At 41.1% G+C, this 15,942-nt stretch overlaps 1 protein-coding gene across 9 annotated transcripts in view, besides 1 other annotated feature; it reads right to left on the bottom strand.

Moving 5' to 3' along the window:
• Nucleotides 1–15,942, bottom strand: part of SEMA6D (semaphorin 6D) — a 590,140-nt gene that overhangs the window by 53,000 nt on the left and 521,198 nt on the right. For 5 of the 9 annotated variants that reach the window (NM_020858.2, NM_153618.2, NM_153617.2 and 2 more), the window contains exon 1: nt 2,356–3,137. The exons of 1 other annotated variant lie outside the window; for it this stretch is intronic. The gene's annotated coding sequence lies outside the window, so the exon portion shown is untranslated. Of the gene's footprint in view, nt 1–2,355; nt 3,138–3,536; nt 3,725–15,942 lie in introns of those variants that run through there. 3 more of the 9 variants (NM_001358351.3, NM_001358352.2, NM_153619.1) reach the window with 2 other exon arrangements.
• Nucleotides 3,603–3,897: a silencer, noted in NCBI's record as "tiled region #212; HepG2 Repressive non-DNase unmatched - State 4:PromP". NCBI's record gives its function as "represses a minimal TATA promoter and a strong SV40 promoter by Sharpr-MPRA in HepG2 cells {active_cell/tissue: HepG2}" and the evidence as "EXISTENCE:reporter gene assay evidence [ECO:0000049][PMID:27701403]".

Genomic DNA, 15,942 nt, shown 5'->3' with positions numbered 1-15,942 from the left:
ATACACTTCTAAAGAAAGAAGCATATCTACATTTCTTGTCAAAAGGTCTGTTTTCCCATCCTTTATTTCCTTCTATTTTTGCTCTATTGAAAATACAGAGAAACATATCTGGCTCACCTGGTGTTGGAACACTGGCTAGCACAGCTCCTTGCAAATGATAAATATTCAGTAAATACTGCCTAGTTGGCATACCCCAACTGCTTCTTGCTTCCTCTAGAAAGGCATCTAGAATATGCAGGCTTAAAGTCTATCAATTAAAATAAAAGACAATATTTTATCACGCAATATAACAAGGAAAGAGTTCACCTCCTACGGTTACACTACTAATGGTTAGGCATTCAGCCAGGCTCTTAACTCTGCATAAAATGCATCAAAAGGGTGAAAAATGACCCTATTTCAGATGCATTTTTCACTCTTTGTATCTTAGTGAAACTCACATGCAAGAACAATGACTAAGCTAATTACCAAGGTTTATTATGATGGAGCAGCAAGAAGTGAAGAACTTCTCCAGTTTCAATAAGTCTTTAGCAATTATGGCCATCTTTGTGAATCAAGGCTCTGATTCCTGTTTACTTGCTTGTGGCCTTTCAAGCGACAGAAACCACGACATTGATGTAGGGGCCTGCTTACCCCAGTCACAGTTACTGGACAGAGCCTTTCTGTGCATGCAGCAAGGAACTGAAGTCTTCTGGATTTCTAAGTTGTCCTCACTCTAAGGACTAACGGATTTACATCACAGCCATCTTTCAAATCCATCAACCCATCAAACCAGGGGAGACATGACCAGATGGTGCTATTAGAGGGCACCAAAAGAAAAAAAGAGAGAAAGAAGAGGAAGACGGCAAAATGCCCACAAATCTAAATCAAACTCAAGTTAACCAGCTGTTGGTGATGAAGAAGTCACAACATTTCTGGCATACTCTCCTGAGTCACAGAAATGTTCCAAAAAAAAAAAAAAAAAAAAAAAGAAAGGTTATTGATATAGCATCCCTACGAGGAATAAGGCCAGGTAGGAATATTCTGTAGGATGCAGTAAGAAATAGTTGCTAGTTGTTAATCTAACAAAATGTGCCAATGAAAGAAAACAGTCTGCTCAACAACACATTTTGGAAGCCTTAGGGTTATCTATTTAACTGTCTTTCTGGAAGTACATTCTAAGAGACCTAAACCAAACAAAGCACAGACAGTAACTATAAAAAACAAAACTCAGCTATGGCTGAACTATGGTTTATTTATCTCTAGATGTTTAGGTTCATGGTAATATAGACCCAAATCTCAGAGCTTATCTGGCATTTTCTATTTATCTAAGCCAGAGTAAATGTTTGTGTAATATCTGCCAGCTTGAAAGAATATGCCTGTCACTCACTACATTAAACATGACTACACACAACTTAATTTCCTGAGTTAGACACCTAAGAGAGTAAGGGGATTTATTTTTTAACAGCAAGAGTAAACCAGTATCAAAAGCTACTGTTTTTAAGCCACCAAAGGAGAGTAAAATCCTTCCCTTGAGCGGTCTGAGATGAGATTTCTTTATACTACAAGGAAGAAACCTTGAAAATTTTCTTCAAACAAGTATTTTTCCTATTCTAAGGGACAGAGATCAAACCAGTTTAGAAAAATGTTAGACCTTTCCCAGGGACTTCAGCTTTGGAATAAACAAAATAATCCACTTAATGGCCCCAAATATCAAGTAGGGGGAAGGGCAACCTTAAAAAGCACCCATAATTTTTATTACAGACTTAAAATTCTTACCGCCAGAAGTTTTGGGGAAAAATCGTCCTACTCATTGCCCTTTCACCCCAAGTAACAGGAAACACTACAGTTATTTTTAAAGGAAAGCCCCCGCTGTAGTGGCAGACATAAGGTCCAATGACTGTTGACGAAGTCTATATATCTATAGTAACGATGTGCTGCGCCTTCCCTGTGAGATCATCCAGCTGACGGCGCTGAGGGCTCGGGATGCTGGAACATCAGTTACCGAATGGTCACCCCAGAACAGGGAGTACTGCCCTAAGTTCCTCAAACGCTGCGATTCATACCGGGACTTCAATCCCCCTCCACACCCCCACCCCCGCCAGCTCCCTGACATTTCGCCTTTTAACAAGTTCAGGATTTAAACAATCACCTGACAGCAATGGTCCCAAGAGTGGATGGAGCACAAATTTTTCAAACCCAATTCTCGTGCACACTTCCAAGTCCTTTATGACCTTTCATTTCAATCCAAGAATTACACATGACAGAAGAAGCTTCAAGCCCTCCTAAATTACCCAAGGAAGGAGGCTACTGTATCAGTTTCTGCAGACCAGGGACAAACACCGCCGCTGTCAAGACGGGAAATAAAAGTTTCCCTACCTTCCTCCTCACCATGCCCCTGCCAGCGGCTGCCGGCGCGAGCGGCGGCTCCCTCCCGGCTGCAGAACGCCTCTCGTTGCCGGAGAAGGGGCTCAGCAAAATTGACTCTTCCTTATTTGTTTCCATCCATAATTGATGGGGAGATGAGAACGTAACACATCTCAGCACCGAGCTCTTGTCGCCTGGCGGAGACCCTGTCCAAGACGCTTCCGTAAAGCATTTCCAGTCGGGGAACAAAGCACGGAAAGTTGCTGGGTAGAGCGGCCGGGAGGAGACACCGGGAGCCGGGTGGGCGGTGGGGTGGCCGGTGGGCTGCTCCGGGCCCGGGAGTCCGCCCGCAGCGCGCTCTGCCAGTAAGGGGAGAGGGACGGTGGGAAGCGGCCGCCCTCCGGGCCTGGGCCGGGGATGGGGATGGCCAAGTCACCCGAGCTCCCGCCCCTCGCCGGCAGGCACTACCCGGGGGCCGTGCAATCCGGGCGCTCACTGACAGGTATCCTACGCCCGCGAGGGGCTGCTCCGGCCTCAACTGCGGCGCTGCGCCCCTTCTCCAGGACGCAGGCTAATGCTCGCCCGCCCGCTCCTAGCCGGGCGCAGAGCTGCCAGACCCCGGGCGTCCCAGCGTCCGCTCTGGGGCCAACGGGCGGGAGGGGGCGGCTAAGCCCGCAGGCGGCTCCTTCGGCCTTGGCTCAGCTCTCCCCGGCTGGCTCCTGGAGACGCTGTGCCCGGCAGAGAAGCAACCCCTGCTAACCCCAGCTATGTGCGGGGGACGCCGAGCTGGCTCTGCCTGGCAAGAAACTTTTACTTGATGCCCCCTCCGCTTTTTTTCCAAGGGGGTGCACAGTGGAGGAGGGCCTCCAAGTCCACTTGCCCCTCCCCCTAAGCCGCCAGCTTTGCCAGTTTTGACGCGTCCGCCAAACCTCTCTAGCCCTTTGCGCGTCCCTTGCACGGCAGGCAGAGAGAGCAGCTTGGAAAATAAATCAACTGTCCAGTGGCAACACACACACACACACACACACACACACACACACACACACACACACAGCGATTCGGGATCTCAGGTTCCGACCCCCACCGCGCGCACACACACACACACACACACACACACAGCGATTCGGGATCTCAGGTTCCGACCCCCACCGGGCGCCACAAGAGCATTAGCAAATTGTTGAAAACGGTCTTACCTCATTGGGGGGAGGCTGGTAAGAAAAAAGAAAAAGAAAAAAAAAAGCTTGCCACGCGCAAGGAAGAAAGAAAATAAAGAAAAATATTGTAAAAATAGATATCCCTCTGTCTCCTTAGGTCTTGGCTTCCTTGATAGAATCCTGAAACTCGCCACCACCCCTTGCAGCAGCAGCAGCAGCAGCGGGACAGAGCAGGAGCAAAACAAACCGATGCACGGCAAATGGTGTAATTCGATCCATCTCCAAGTCAATCCATCAGGCGAGCCGGAGCCTGGCTCCCTCCACGCACTCGGCAGCTCCCGGCGCGGGTCCCACCCCCGGGCACGGACGGCAGGAGGCGCGGCCGGCCGGGCGCGCTCGCCCTCGCGGGTGAACCGTGGCCAGCGCCGCCTGGAGGCCCCCACCCTGGCGCCGCGGCCCTGCTGACCCCTCGGTGGCCTCCGCGTCCCTCCTCTCCGGCGCTCTGCTGCGCACCCTCCCTCTCCCCACCTCTGAGTAGCTGCTCCTTCTAGCAACTCCCAGTGCCTCAGTCATCCAGCTCGCAGTGGGTGCTGCAGCCTGCGAAGCAACCTTTTCGATTCCCTCCCTCTTTCCCTCTCGCTCACTTCTTTCAGAGCTTTCCTCCAGAACCCAGAGGACAAATCACTGCAGCCCAGGAGAGCTGCGGGCGCAGTTGTTCCGTGAAGTTCTGCCTTAGTTTTCCAGTGTAAGATTTATTTTTTAAGCACATCTTTACAAACCCGCCCCCACATTACCCCCCCGCCCCCCATTTCTCTTTATAACCACTAAGCAAAACAGCTGGGAAGAAAGCAATCAAACATTGCTTTATCTTTATAAAATACAGAAATTGCCTACTAAAAATCCCATTTCTACTTTGAATGAAAGCCATTCTGTACAGTATAATTTTGCAGGCTAATGACCCGGTTTTACAGGCAAGTGTTTCATGTAATATGTTGTGGGAGAAATGAAAATGTCCTTGAAGTGACATCATTTAAAATTGACTGTCACAAATGAAAGGAAAAAAAAAGTCACATATTCCAAAACAAGAGGATTTTAATTCAAACTTCATTTCCAAGAACGGGCTGTGTTTTATTAATTTCCAGTTGAATTATGGATCACTGAGGGCTCTAAATGGCTAGAATGAACCATGATGCCCCTGTTTAAAGAAAAAGAAGAGAGCTTTTTCCGCCAAACTTAATTTTCATTTGAGTATGGTTAATTACCGTGAAAGAGAGAAGAGAGGGGCGCAGAAAGGACTTCCTTTCCTCAATGGTTCCTGCTTTCTCCCAAACACAGTTACATGTTTACATTTAGGAAAAATACCCTGGTCCTCGTTGTTTCTGAAACTTCCAAGGACAGCCTTGAAAAGGAACTCAAAAAAGACACCCCAAGCAACTGCTGCAGGACTCATCCGGAGAACTATTTCCTCCCTAGTTAACACTGTGTAACCCAAGGAAAGAAGGGGAGAGAAGGATGAGGAGTCTTTTAAAATATAGACTCTTTCCTGCTGTTCTTCCAATTAGAAGAAAAGAGTAGGGGGCGGAAAGAACAGCTTTGGCAACACAGCTCTGTGATTTTTTTCCTGTTGTTATTAGGTCTTTTGTTGGCCGGCTAGTTGGTGTTTTCTGGTTGTGCTGGGCTCTGACATCATTGCAAGTTACTTGGCAGTCAGGGCCCTTCCCCAGCCAACTTCTGACCCAGAAAGCTGTGCCTGTTTCCTGGCGTCCAGTTATTCTGTATTTTCTCCATCAAGGGAGCAAGCCCCCGTTGCAGGCAGAGGATACTGTGCATTGCATAAAGATTGCAAGGGGGTGGCCATTGGCTTGATGAGGAGTCAAATCGCCACCCACCTGGAGACAGAAAGCTCTTGAGTTGTCCTGCATCTGCAGTAGCAGCAAAGAGGGAAAAAAAATTAAATTCTGGAGATTCCTAAATTCCTTGCTAAAATTCCACAATCGTCAGCTTTCCAGAGTGCCACCTGAAGAGTGCAATTTGCCCTAGACTGAGTTCCTAAATCCAGGAAAAAATAAACTTTTAGATTGCAGAAGGATATGCTGGTAGGTCGTTTCAAGCCATGGATTAGCCGTGTTTTCAGTCTACATTATCAGTGAAGACTTCGGAGTCGATCCCTATATTTGGCTTGCTGGGGATGAGAGGTAGGAAGTAGGCTCTTCACTGTGGCATGGTACGAATGGTATCCTTTACCTTTTGGTCAAGACCAAAATATTACTTTTAAGCATTTATCATTTCCCTGGTTCCAAGAATCTTGATAGGAAAACAACGCTCCTTTTATTTGGATTTTAGTGGAAAGAAGTCTAAGGAAAACTGCTAACTCTTTATGCAGCTACCATTGTTGTGGTTTATTAGCATTTGGTCTCATCAGTTGATTTTACACACTTTTAACCTTTTAACTTTGCTACTTCTCCAGTCTAACTCCCCCCTCTCCCTACCTTATGCTTTAGATGCTAGCATTACCCAGAAACTTGCGGTTCACCACTGTGCCACACTGTTTCATGGTGTCTCTGCTTTCTGGGTACTCCATCCCCATATTGGTATGTAGTTTAATTTCTGCTTTTCCTGACTTCTAGCCAACAATTTGTTTAAATGTCAAAACTTGCCTCATCCCACTAGCCCCTACCATGGGCATAAGTGCTTTTCTTCTGTGCTCCCCTAACCAGTTCACTTACGTAATTAAGTAAATTGAAGGCAAATTACCGATTTAGCATGTCTTCCCCACTCGACACTCCTTAACAGCAGCAATCTCTATTTACCTAGACAGTCCCAGTGCCCACCACAGTGCCTGGCATTTAATGGACGCCCAATAAATACTTGTTAAACAGATCTAACAATGGAACCTACGACTTTCTCACACTCCCTTATGTGCTAAACCAGAGAATACAGTCAGCTCTAGATTGGATCCTTCTCCATTTATTCATCCTGCGTCCCCAGGACTCAGCAAAGTACTGGCATGAGAATGTTTGTTAAATGAGTAAAAGAAGGAAGGTATGGATGAATGGAGATAATTGAGTGTTTTCACCAGAAGAAATTGTAAAGGGCTCAATGCTTTACATGGTTAGTGATTATGCTTAAACATTATCTACATACATTTCCCATCAGTGGAAAGTAGTCATTTTGTTTACAGTCCAGTTTGAAGCATAACGGTCATCTGAAAATTACAGAAAATCTGTGTGTGTAATTGTTAATAAAAGTTCATCAGTCATCAGAAAGTACAACTTCTTAACTGTTATTAAACAAAACATCAGTACTTAATATGCACCCAAACTCTGTTCTAAGCATTTTACAAATATTAACTTGCAACAATGCTACAAGGTAAGTACTATTATTATTATTATCATTTTTATAGATGAGAAAACTGAAGCTTAGAGAGTTTAAGTGAATTGCCTAATGTCACAGAGTAGTAAGCAAGTAGGAGTTGAATTCTACCCCTTACTTAGTTGTAATAGTAGTTAATAATAGTGAGGTCATAGTTAATAGCAATAGATGATAATGAAGTCTTTGGAATATTAGTCTGGATTGAAACCCAGGCTCCTCCTCTCACTAGACTTGTGACTTGGGATAATTTATTTAGCCACACATGCTTCAGTCTTCTCATCTGGAAAACAGGGATGATGATAATAATATTCAAATTGATTTTATAAAAACAGAATGTGGTAATGCATGTAAAGTGTTTAGCATCTGACCTGGAACAAAGCAAGCACTGAATAAATATTAAACAATGCTTTTATAGATTCTCCAAAGGCAGCAGAATCTGGGAATCCTGCAGAATTGAATTTGAAACTTAATCCAACCTCACATTAAATGTGAGATTAAGGGCAAAAGTCCATGCTACACAATAGGTTTGCAATAAATGTTTGTTCCATTCCATCTCCTTCATTTTCTTATCTATGTGTATATGTCTATTAATTCTGATACACACACCACTCACTATCCAGTTGATATGAAATAACATTTTGTATGAATTTTAATGAATAATAAAATTTAGGACGTAGAATTTCATGTTTCAAAATAAAAAGAGGTATTGAAATTTCAAAGGTTGCTGCAGCTTCTGTGATTACTTTGATTTGGAATGCACATATAGTATTCCTTGCGTTCGCACATTATAGAAAGTGCTTTTGTGGCAAGGGATTGCTTTCAAAACTAATCTAAGCTCTCCATGACATGATAAATCATTAATAATATAGACCCAAATCTCGGCATCTGCATAGGCACAGCTGGCCTCCTTGTGTCAACAGTCTGCATATGAAAGTGACTCTGCCAAGATATTTCACTTTAATGAAAAATATTTATCACAGTAAATCTTAAGCCTCAAGATTTTACTGACATAATTCATTTCTATTATTATGTAGTATGATAGTATACCACCACAGCAGTGCTTATGTTTAGAATGATAAAAATGTGCTTTTTAAAGTCATTTTGATTATTCTACCTCAGCATGAATAATTTTTGCTCTACACTCTGAGGAAAGGGAATACACCATGCATTTATGGAACTAATAAATCAGTTACTTATCTAATTTTGCTAATGACTCTGTAGGTGTCACTGTGTGGAAGGACACTGAGTGCCCAAGCGAAATAAGAATAAGGCTTTAAAAAAATATTGTTTTTCCATAAGAAAGATGAACAGCAAACAGCCTTTAATAACACTAGCTCTTTTGCAAACAGACAAGAGATATGAAGACTATCATTTTATCAAAGATATTTGAACAAACAGAAGCAAAACGAACTTTTTGAAGGGTGGGTCATACAAAAAGCTGGCAACTCAGTCAGTCACTAAATTGTGCTTATCTGTACTTTGAAAAGGAATACTTAGGATACTGGAATGCCAGCTTATATCCCAACAAAAAGAAAGCTGAGACTCCAAATTCCTGACAGACTTCTCTCTACAAATTTACAGTAACCAAGCCTCTGACCTTGAAGAATTGGAGCTGAATAATACCTATTAAATGTTAGACTGTCTTAACCAAGGAGAAAGATAATGAAACTAATTAAAAGTGGTAGAAATTAAAAGTTTATTTACTTCTAAAAATATATACTTAAAACTTGGTTTTTAAAAACAAACCTCCCCACCTAATATTATTATTATTTGCTTCTGCCAACCTCAAAATTCAAACTGACAAAGGGAGAAGGAACTGACTGGATACCTGTTTCATCCCAGATCCTGGCCAGATACAATAGTATTAATTCTCACCACAGCTCTTTGAGACAGACATCATTTTATGAACAAAGAAACCTAGGCTTGGTTAAAATAACTATCTTATTAGGGTTTTCTGTCCTAGTAGGTGGTAGCCTAGATTCTAATCCCGGTTTGTTTGCCCCTCAATCCTTATTTTTTTTCTAGTATACCATTCTATGAAAAATGATATAAGCACAAGTTTTAAAAACTATGTCTTGGATAACACAGGAAATAAATGTAAAAACCCACAATTAGATATTCAAAGCTAAACTACAAGTAAATGTGTGCTTCAATGTCAAAATTTTTAATAATTTTTGCTTGTCACATAAAATCCAGTGTAAGGACATCTGCAATAGGATTCATAGCATAGTTTAAACCTCTGTATATTATATACATTCTATTATTCATATAACTGCTCTGAATCACTTGTAAAGAATAATAAGACCTATTTCACACCATGCAGATTTATATTAAAATAAACCTCTTTGGTTAAGCTATAAATGTTTCAATTACTGTTTAGGCCCATATGTTCACATGCTCCTCATCTTCCCCCAAATCTTAAGCATTGATTGTTTTACACCCAAAAACCCCTACATTATAGGTACAGGGAGCTGATTCATTGCCAGAAACCACTAGTGCCACCTACTGGTTAAGGAAAAGAGAATAGAATTCTGGGTAATTTCCATCTTTCCAAATAAGAGGCACTAAAAATGAAAACAATCTTTTCTTTCCTGTTTGCCTTCTCAGATAGGATGTTTACTATTATGGACATTTTATTAACATTGAATATATTGAAGTTATTAAAATTACACTGCTAATATGCAAGGGAGTGAAGGGTGGTGTATGTTTGGGGGACAGGAAGCAGCTGATGTTCTGGGATAAAAATCAAAAGCAAACACTGTTAGAGTATGGCTTTAATAATAGGGGTTGTCTAAAGTCCAAAATGCCCTCTTAAGCTGTGGTGAAGTGGCAAGAAGTGCTCCCTCCACCAGTCCCAGTTACGGGGGGTTCATTTATGTCCTAGAAGGAGGCTCAAGAGAAACTTAGTTTGTTTAACTTTTGTTTGGTTCCACGAAGTGTACTGCTCAAGTTCTGGTTCCCAAACCCCTCTGGCCTTCGAACCTAATCAATTGCCAGTCAGCGAGTAAAAATAATTCACGCCTATACATTTTTTTTTTTTTTTTTTTTTTGAGACGGAGTCTCGCTCTGTCGCCCAGGCTGGAGTGCAGTGGCGGGATCTCGGCTCACTGCAAGCTCCGCCTCCCGGGTTCACGCCATTCTCCTGCCTCAGCCTCCCAAGTAGCTGGGACTACAGGCGCCCGCCACTACGCCCGGCTAATTTTTTTGTATTTTTAGTAGAGACGGGGTTTCACCGTTTTAGCCGGGATGGTCTCGATCTCCTGACCTCGTGATCCGCCCGCCTCGGCCTCCCAAAGTGCTGGGATTACAGGCGTGAGCCACCGCGCCCGGCCACGCCTATACATTTTTACAACAAACTTTCTTATCAGTAGGTTGGCCCCAGCAACCAAGTTAGATTTAAACATTATCTGATTCATTTGACAATTGCTAGGGTATGTTCCTTGGTGGCTGTCTTCTAGAAGCTTGAATTGTGATATATGCTGAAAAAATCACTTCAAATTGATATTTTTAAGGAAAGCTTAAAACAGGAGCCTCACAGAATTTGCCGTCGTCTGCCTTTGAGATTCACTTACACAGCTAAAATGAAAACCTCTTTGGCTGAGAGCTTTTCTGGAAAATCCAAAAAGGTCCAGAAGGACTGGTTAGAGGTTTTTAACAATATCACGCACCCATTAAATTTGAATATTTTGGTTATAGTTGTATTCGATGGCTGGCTTTTCAAATCTTATTGCCACTATATCATTGCACACACTGTGTGTGTGTTTGTGTGTGTGCGTGTGTATTTTTCCTCCAAGAGTTTCTGTTTAAGGCGTTATGAATTCTTTTGCTATAATAAAATCTTTGGAATTATGTTCATAAACTACCACAATATGTTCTGAATTTCTGGGTCATAATTATAAAATAAACAGATTCATTTCTCGTCACAAATTTTAATTAAGAATTCCAGTTATGCAATTATTTGCTAATGAATAATACCCACTCAGTTTCAAGGCATACTATTAAATATGTTAACTCAAAAATTTGTTTTCTGAAGACAGTTTCCAGGGGTCGGTTTCTCATTTGTAAGCCATCAACCTCAGTAACTGTCATATTAAAATAAGAAGAAATGCTTGTCTCTTATATCATTGAGATAGGTGAGCATTCAGGAGACAAGGATAATTTATAATTGATGGAAATAAATTAATTTAATATAAAAAGCTAATCCATCAGCCTCTATTTCAGTTCCTCATAAATATCAAGCTACTGGATTCTGTGATTTATTTTGTTTAGATCTTTTGGTTAGGCTATCCAATTGCCCAGTCATTGGCTAGGCTTTTGCTTGTAAAAGGGGGCAGTAGAGGAACTTATTTGCCTCATGTTTATTTATTGTGCTTTGAGAAAACTACCCCAGTCTGGGCTGCTGACTCCTTAAATATGATCTTGGTTCCCATGTAATAAAGGAACAATCAATTTGCTTGCTTTTGACTTTTTTTTTTTTTTGCCAGTTTTTATGTTGAAGAAGAAAAAATATGAATAAACAAATAAGTAACCTATTTTTGGTATCAAGTAAATGTGCAGCCTAGAGAAGGGGGATAATTCTAGAAATTGGAAACAAAGTTGGCCCTTTCAAGTTAAACCACTAGAAATATACAAGGGCTGACATTTCTGCAGATACTCTAAGAGACGGTGAGTTCCAAGGGAAAAGGGGACCTCCCAAATCAAATCAGGGCATTACAAAATCTAATCAAGGTGACAAGGATATATCCCCAGCATAAGACTGTAACTAAAGTGGAAGGGGGCAGGATCATTCACTCATTCATTCTTGCATATATTCATTTCACCATTTATTATTAATAGCAGCAATCTGCTTTGTGTAAAGTGCTACACAGAGATAAACGAGAAATACCTTGCATTTAGACAGCAACTTAAAATTTCAAAAGCAGTTTTATCATTTAGAGTCGTGGCAGGGAACAGATGGCAAACCTGACTTTGGTAATTTAAGGAGCCTTTAATAAAGGGACTGTTTATTAAGGTGTGGGTAGAGTACAGGGAGACCACAGGGGCCAGTTACTCTGGGGCCTTTACTACCTCTAGGTCCTAAGGAGCCAGATGGGGGAGGTAATTGCTCCAGCAGAACCTGGAGATATGAAGACTGTAGAGAGGACCCACTTGCAGCAGCTGTGTCCTTCAGTCAAGGGACTCTCTCATCCTAGGGTGACATGTAGGAAGGGGATGGGGAAATACATATCACCACCCACTCTCTTCCCTCTTTCTGATCCCCTGCAGGTGCTCTTCATTGGTTCAACCTCACTTGAAGACAAAGGGCAAGAAGGCCCACTGATGCAGCCCTTAATGGTCAACCTCTAGGGAGTAGGGAAAAAAGGATTAAGAGTAGATCTGGTGGCACAAATGGAAATTTACTATTTAATTTTATTTTGGTTCTTATAGAGCACTATGTGGTAGGGGTGCTCCTTTTGCAAATGAGAAAGCTGCAACTGGGAAATTTGCTTACTATAAAGATAACCCAGTTACATAGCAGAGCCAGACCTTGAACTTGGGTCTTCTGAATCTAAGTCTGGTGCTTATCACACTGTCTCCCTATTCTCTGCCCTTTGGACTTCCTTATTACAGTTATCTCACCATGTAACTTTATTAACATGTTTTATTACTTACTAGACAGAGCTCCCTGAGAGAGGGAACTAGGTCTTGGTATCCTTACTGTCTAGAATTAGAGGCTGAGATATGAACCTAGGAGACTTTTGATGGATGGAATAATAAGTGAGAGAGCACGCAACCTGACTGAAGAGACAGATGTACAAAGAGTTAACATCACATGTAGCAGAATACTGTAAATACTAAATCCAGAGGTAGAGAAAATGTACTTTGGATGTATAGGACAAGGGGAAATGCATAATACTGCAGGTTGTAAAAGCTTCATGATGTGGGGCCTATAAGCTGAGTCACACTGGAAGATAAATGTCTACAGGTAGAAACTCTAACAGAGGTACTTTGGGCAGAGAGGGCAGCAGAATCAGGGGAGGGTGATAGGGCATGGTATACTGGGGCCACGATTAGTGTTCTTGGAGGCAAGTAACAGGAAATGTGACGGAAGAGACAGGATGAGATCATTGTACCAAGTTCCTTAATTGGCATGTGCTAGAGTTTGAATGTTTTCCTCATGTGTTTAGAAGACAGATTTTTTTAGGAAAAGATGATTGTAATGCTTTTGAGTGAGAGACAGCTCTCAAGCTGTCTCAAGCCGGAGGATATACAGCTTGGAGAAGCAAGAGGTTTCAGACGTAAGAATGCTAATGTAGGGGTCAGGACAGAAGATGACTTTAATGGAGGTAGAATCTATAGAAAAGTGGAAACATACACCAGAAGACACAGCAGAGTTGGTAGATGTTTGAGTGTCAGGGAAGGGGATGTGGGAGATTTTTCCAAGTTTCTTAGTCTGGCCAAATTTAAGAAAAGTTGAATTTTGATAAAAGAAACATGAGGTGGAAAAGGTTAATGGGGGGATAATTGAGTATGGTTTTGGGTAAATGGAGTTTAAAGGGTTGGCATGGTGTCCATGAGGTGATGCCCAGCAGAAAATTGGAAATTATTACACAGTTACTTCAGTAGACAGCGGGAACATATTTTCCAGAAAAATACCAAAATCTACATGAGCCACATACACATGAAAAAGTAAGAGGAAATCCAGTTTTTATCCAGTGATGCAGGTTAGCCTATCTACCTTCTGAAGGCGTACGTGCTCAAGAGAACGTGCACAAGAAACCCTTCATCCTTCACATTCCTAGACTCTGTCCTCCAACTTGGAAATCATGCAGTCTTACTGGTGGCTTGCAAACATAGGAAATGCAGACGTGGCAATTCATCATATTTTATCTACTATCTTTTTTGAGCTGACTGTTTAGTGGTATCTTTTCAGCCTGACACTTTTACAGAAAATGCTGATAGATACTTTTAAAACTTTTAATGAAACTATATAAAAATCATTATTTCAGAAATTTTTAGAGAACTTTGGTCTTAGTGTGGTGTAGATGAGGTTGAAAAATTACCCAAATCAATTTACTTAACCATTACCACTCCATGTAAACTTAGGCATCCTTAGGCTCTGATCATCAAGATTTGCTGCTAAAGTGTAAATGAACTTAGGGAAACACAATTCAGTAGCTCCTCTCAATTTTCTTGGACATCATGAACATGTCATTTTACTTGATTTGAAATGCTAACATGAAACATAAAAGAGAGTGGATCATTTCAGAGGAAAAAGAATCACCTCTTGACAGCCAGATGATAAAATGCTATAACAATAAAAGATTAGATCACTTCCAATTCTCTTTACAAAAAAACCCCTGAAATGTATAGGATATAATTTTAATTCTTTAAGCAGAGTTTTCCATTTTATTTCAAAAAGGAAAGCTTATGAAGAGTGAGTATGGATATCGTGAGCATCACGGTATTAGTTAATGGTCAGGGTGCTTTGAGGTAGCAGTACGTTCAGGACAATTTATCATGTAATAGTTATAGGATTACAAAATGGGCACTTTTTTTTCTTATGGTGATTTGTTCCTTCATTCATATTATGTGGGCCATTTTAAAACAACTTATATAGTGTTCTCCTAATATCTAGAGGAGAGAGAGAGAGAGAAAAATAGAGAGAAAGAGAGAGAGAGAGGTCCAGAGACAGAGTGAAAAGGAAAGCAAATGAGAAATCTAATTAAATTTAATGGAACATTTCCAAGAAAAAGATACAGTCTTTAGCAGCATCTGCAGTTTCAATTTGCGAACTGTAGGTACTTACATTGCCAGGAACTTACTTTTCTTTTCTTTTTGTTTTATGATTTGTCATTAATGCAGAGAGAAATAAAACAGATATAAGTATTTGTCAATTTCATGCAAACCATTTCAACTTACATAGAATGTCATAGAATGTATGCTTAATTACATAAGCAACCTTTGTATTAAAAATATCACTTTATTACCCTCCATAAACATTTATGAATCTCTTTAGTTTATGATTAAATTAAGAGAAAATGAAATGCAGGAATAAACTACAAAGGATTTTTTCCTCATCTTTTAAACTGACTTCATTAAAACTGTAATTTAGTGCTATGTATAACAGCAATCCAAGAGTAGAGATGGGACAAATTTATACTTTTATTCAGTCAAATGTTGAAAAAATAGTGTTTGACTTTTGATGAATATTTAATATGCCAGAGAGCTCTCAAGATCCCACTTTAGCAGTGAGATCTGGGGCAGTTTTCAGCAGAGACTGAATTTCTGATCTGGCCTCCTGAGTTCCCTCTACCACTTTTCTTCCTCTCATATTCCTTAAGTTGCAAAGAGGCAGAAAAATACAACATCCTTTGCCCAAACAGTCTTTCACATGTGCCCCGTAACTGAGGTAGATTAGGACAAGGGCTCTGGGACTGAAGCAGTCTTCATTCTGGAGAAGAAGCAGGCTGCCCTTGATTGGAAGCCATAGGAGTGTGGCTATCCACTGAAGGTGTTGGTTCCCTGGTAATGGCCTTAAGCCTTGAGAGCTTGATAGAAAGCCAAAATGCTTCGTAGTGCAGCACAGACTTTGGCCCTGCACTTTCTCTCTTACCTCTTGATAGCGTAAGTCAATGTGCGTCAAGAACCCAGGAATTTCCTGGGGAACTGGTCTTAGGTATTCCTGTACTTCAGAAGAATTGGGAAAAAACACTGGTTGGAAAGGCCTGTTGTGATTAAGAGGTGATTCTCTGCTTGAAGGAGGAAATGAGAGAGATTGGGTAAAAAATCAGGGAAGAATGAATTCTAGATCCCACTGCCAAAAATTATGAAAATTATTAAGTCATGTATTACATTTATTCAATTATTTTACAAGGGTAAGTACAAAGGGCACAAGTTTTGATTTTCGGCTTAGCTTTGACCTCTAAACAATTCCAACTTTCAGTTTCCTCTTCAGTAATGTTGAGATAATGTTTAACGTGAAGTTTATTGTTAGGGGTAAAGTAAATGATGTTGGTAAAAACATCGTGTAAGTTTTATAAAGTAAAACCGTAAAACCCTAAATTAAAGTTAGATATTACCAAAGTCCAGT

This window comes from Homo sapiens, chromosome 15 (assembly GCF_000001405.40).
Source record: "Homo sapiens chromosome 15, GRCh38.p14 Primary Assembly".
Classification (NCBI taxonomy): Eukaryota; Metazoa; Chordata; class Mammalia; order Primates; family Hominidae; genus Homo; species Homo sapiens.
Note: the sequence above shows the minus strand (reverse complement) of the source record. Positions and strands in the feature narration are given on the sequence as shown.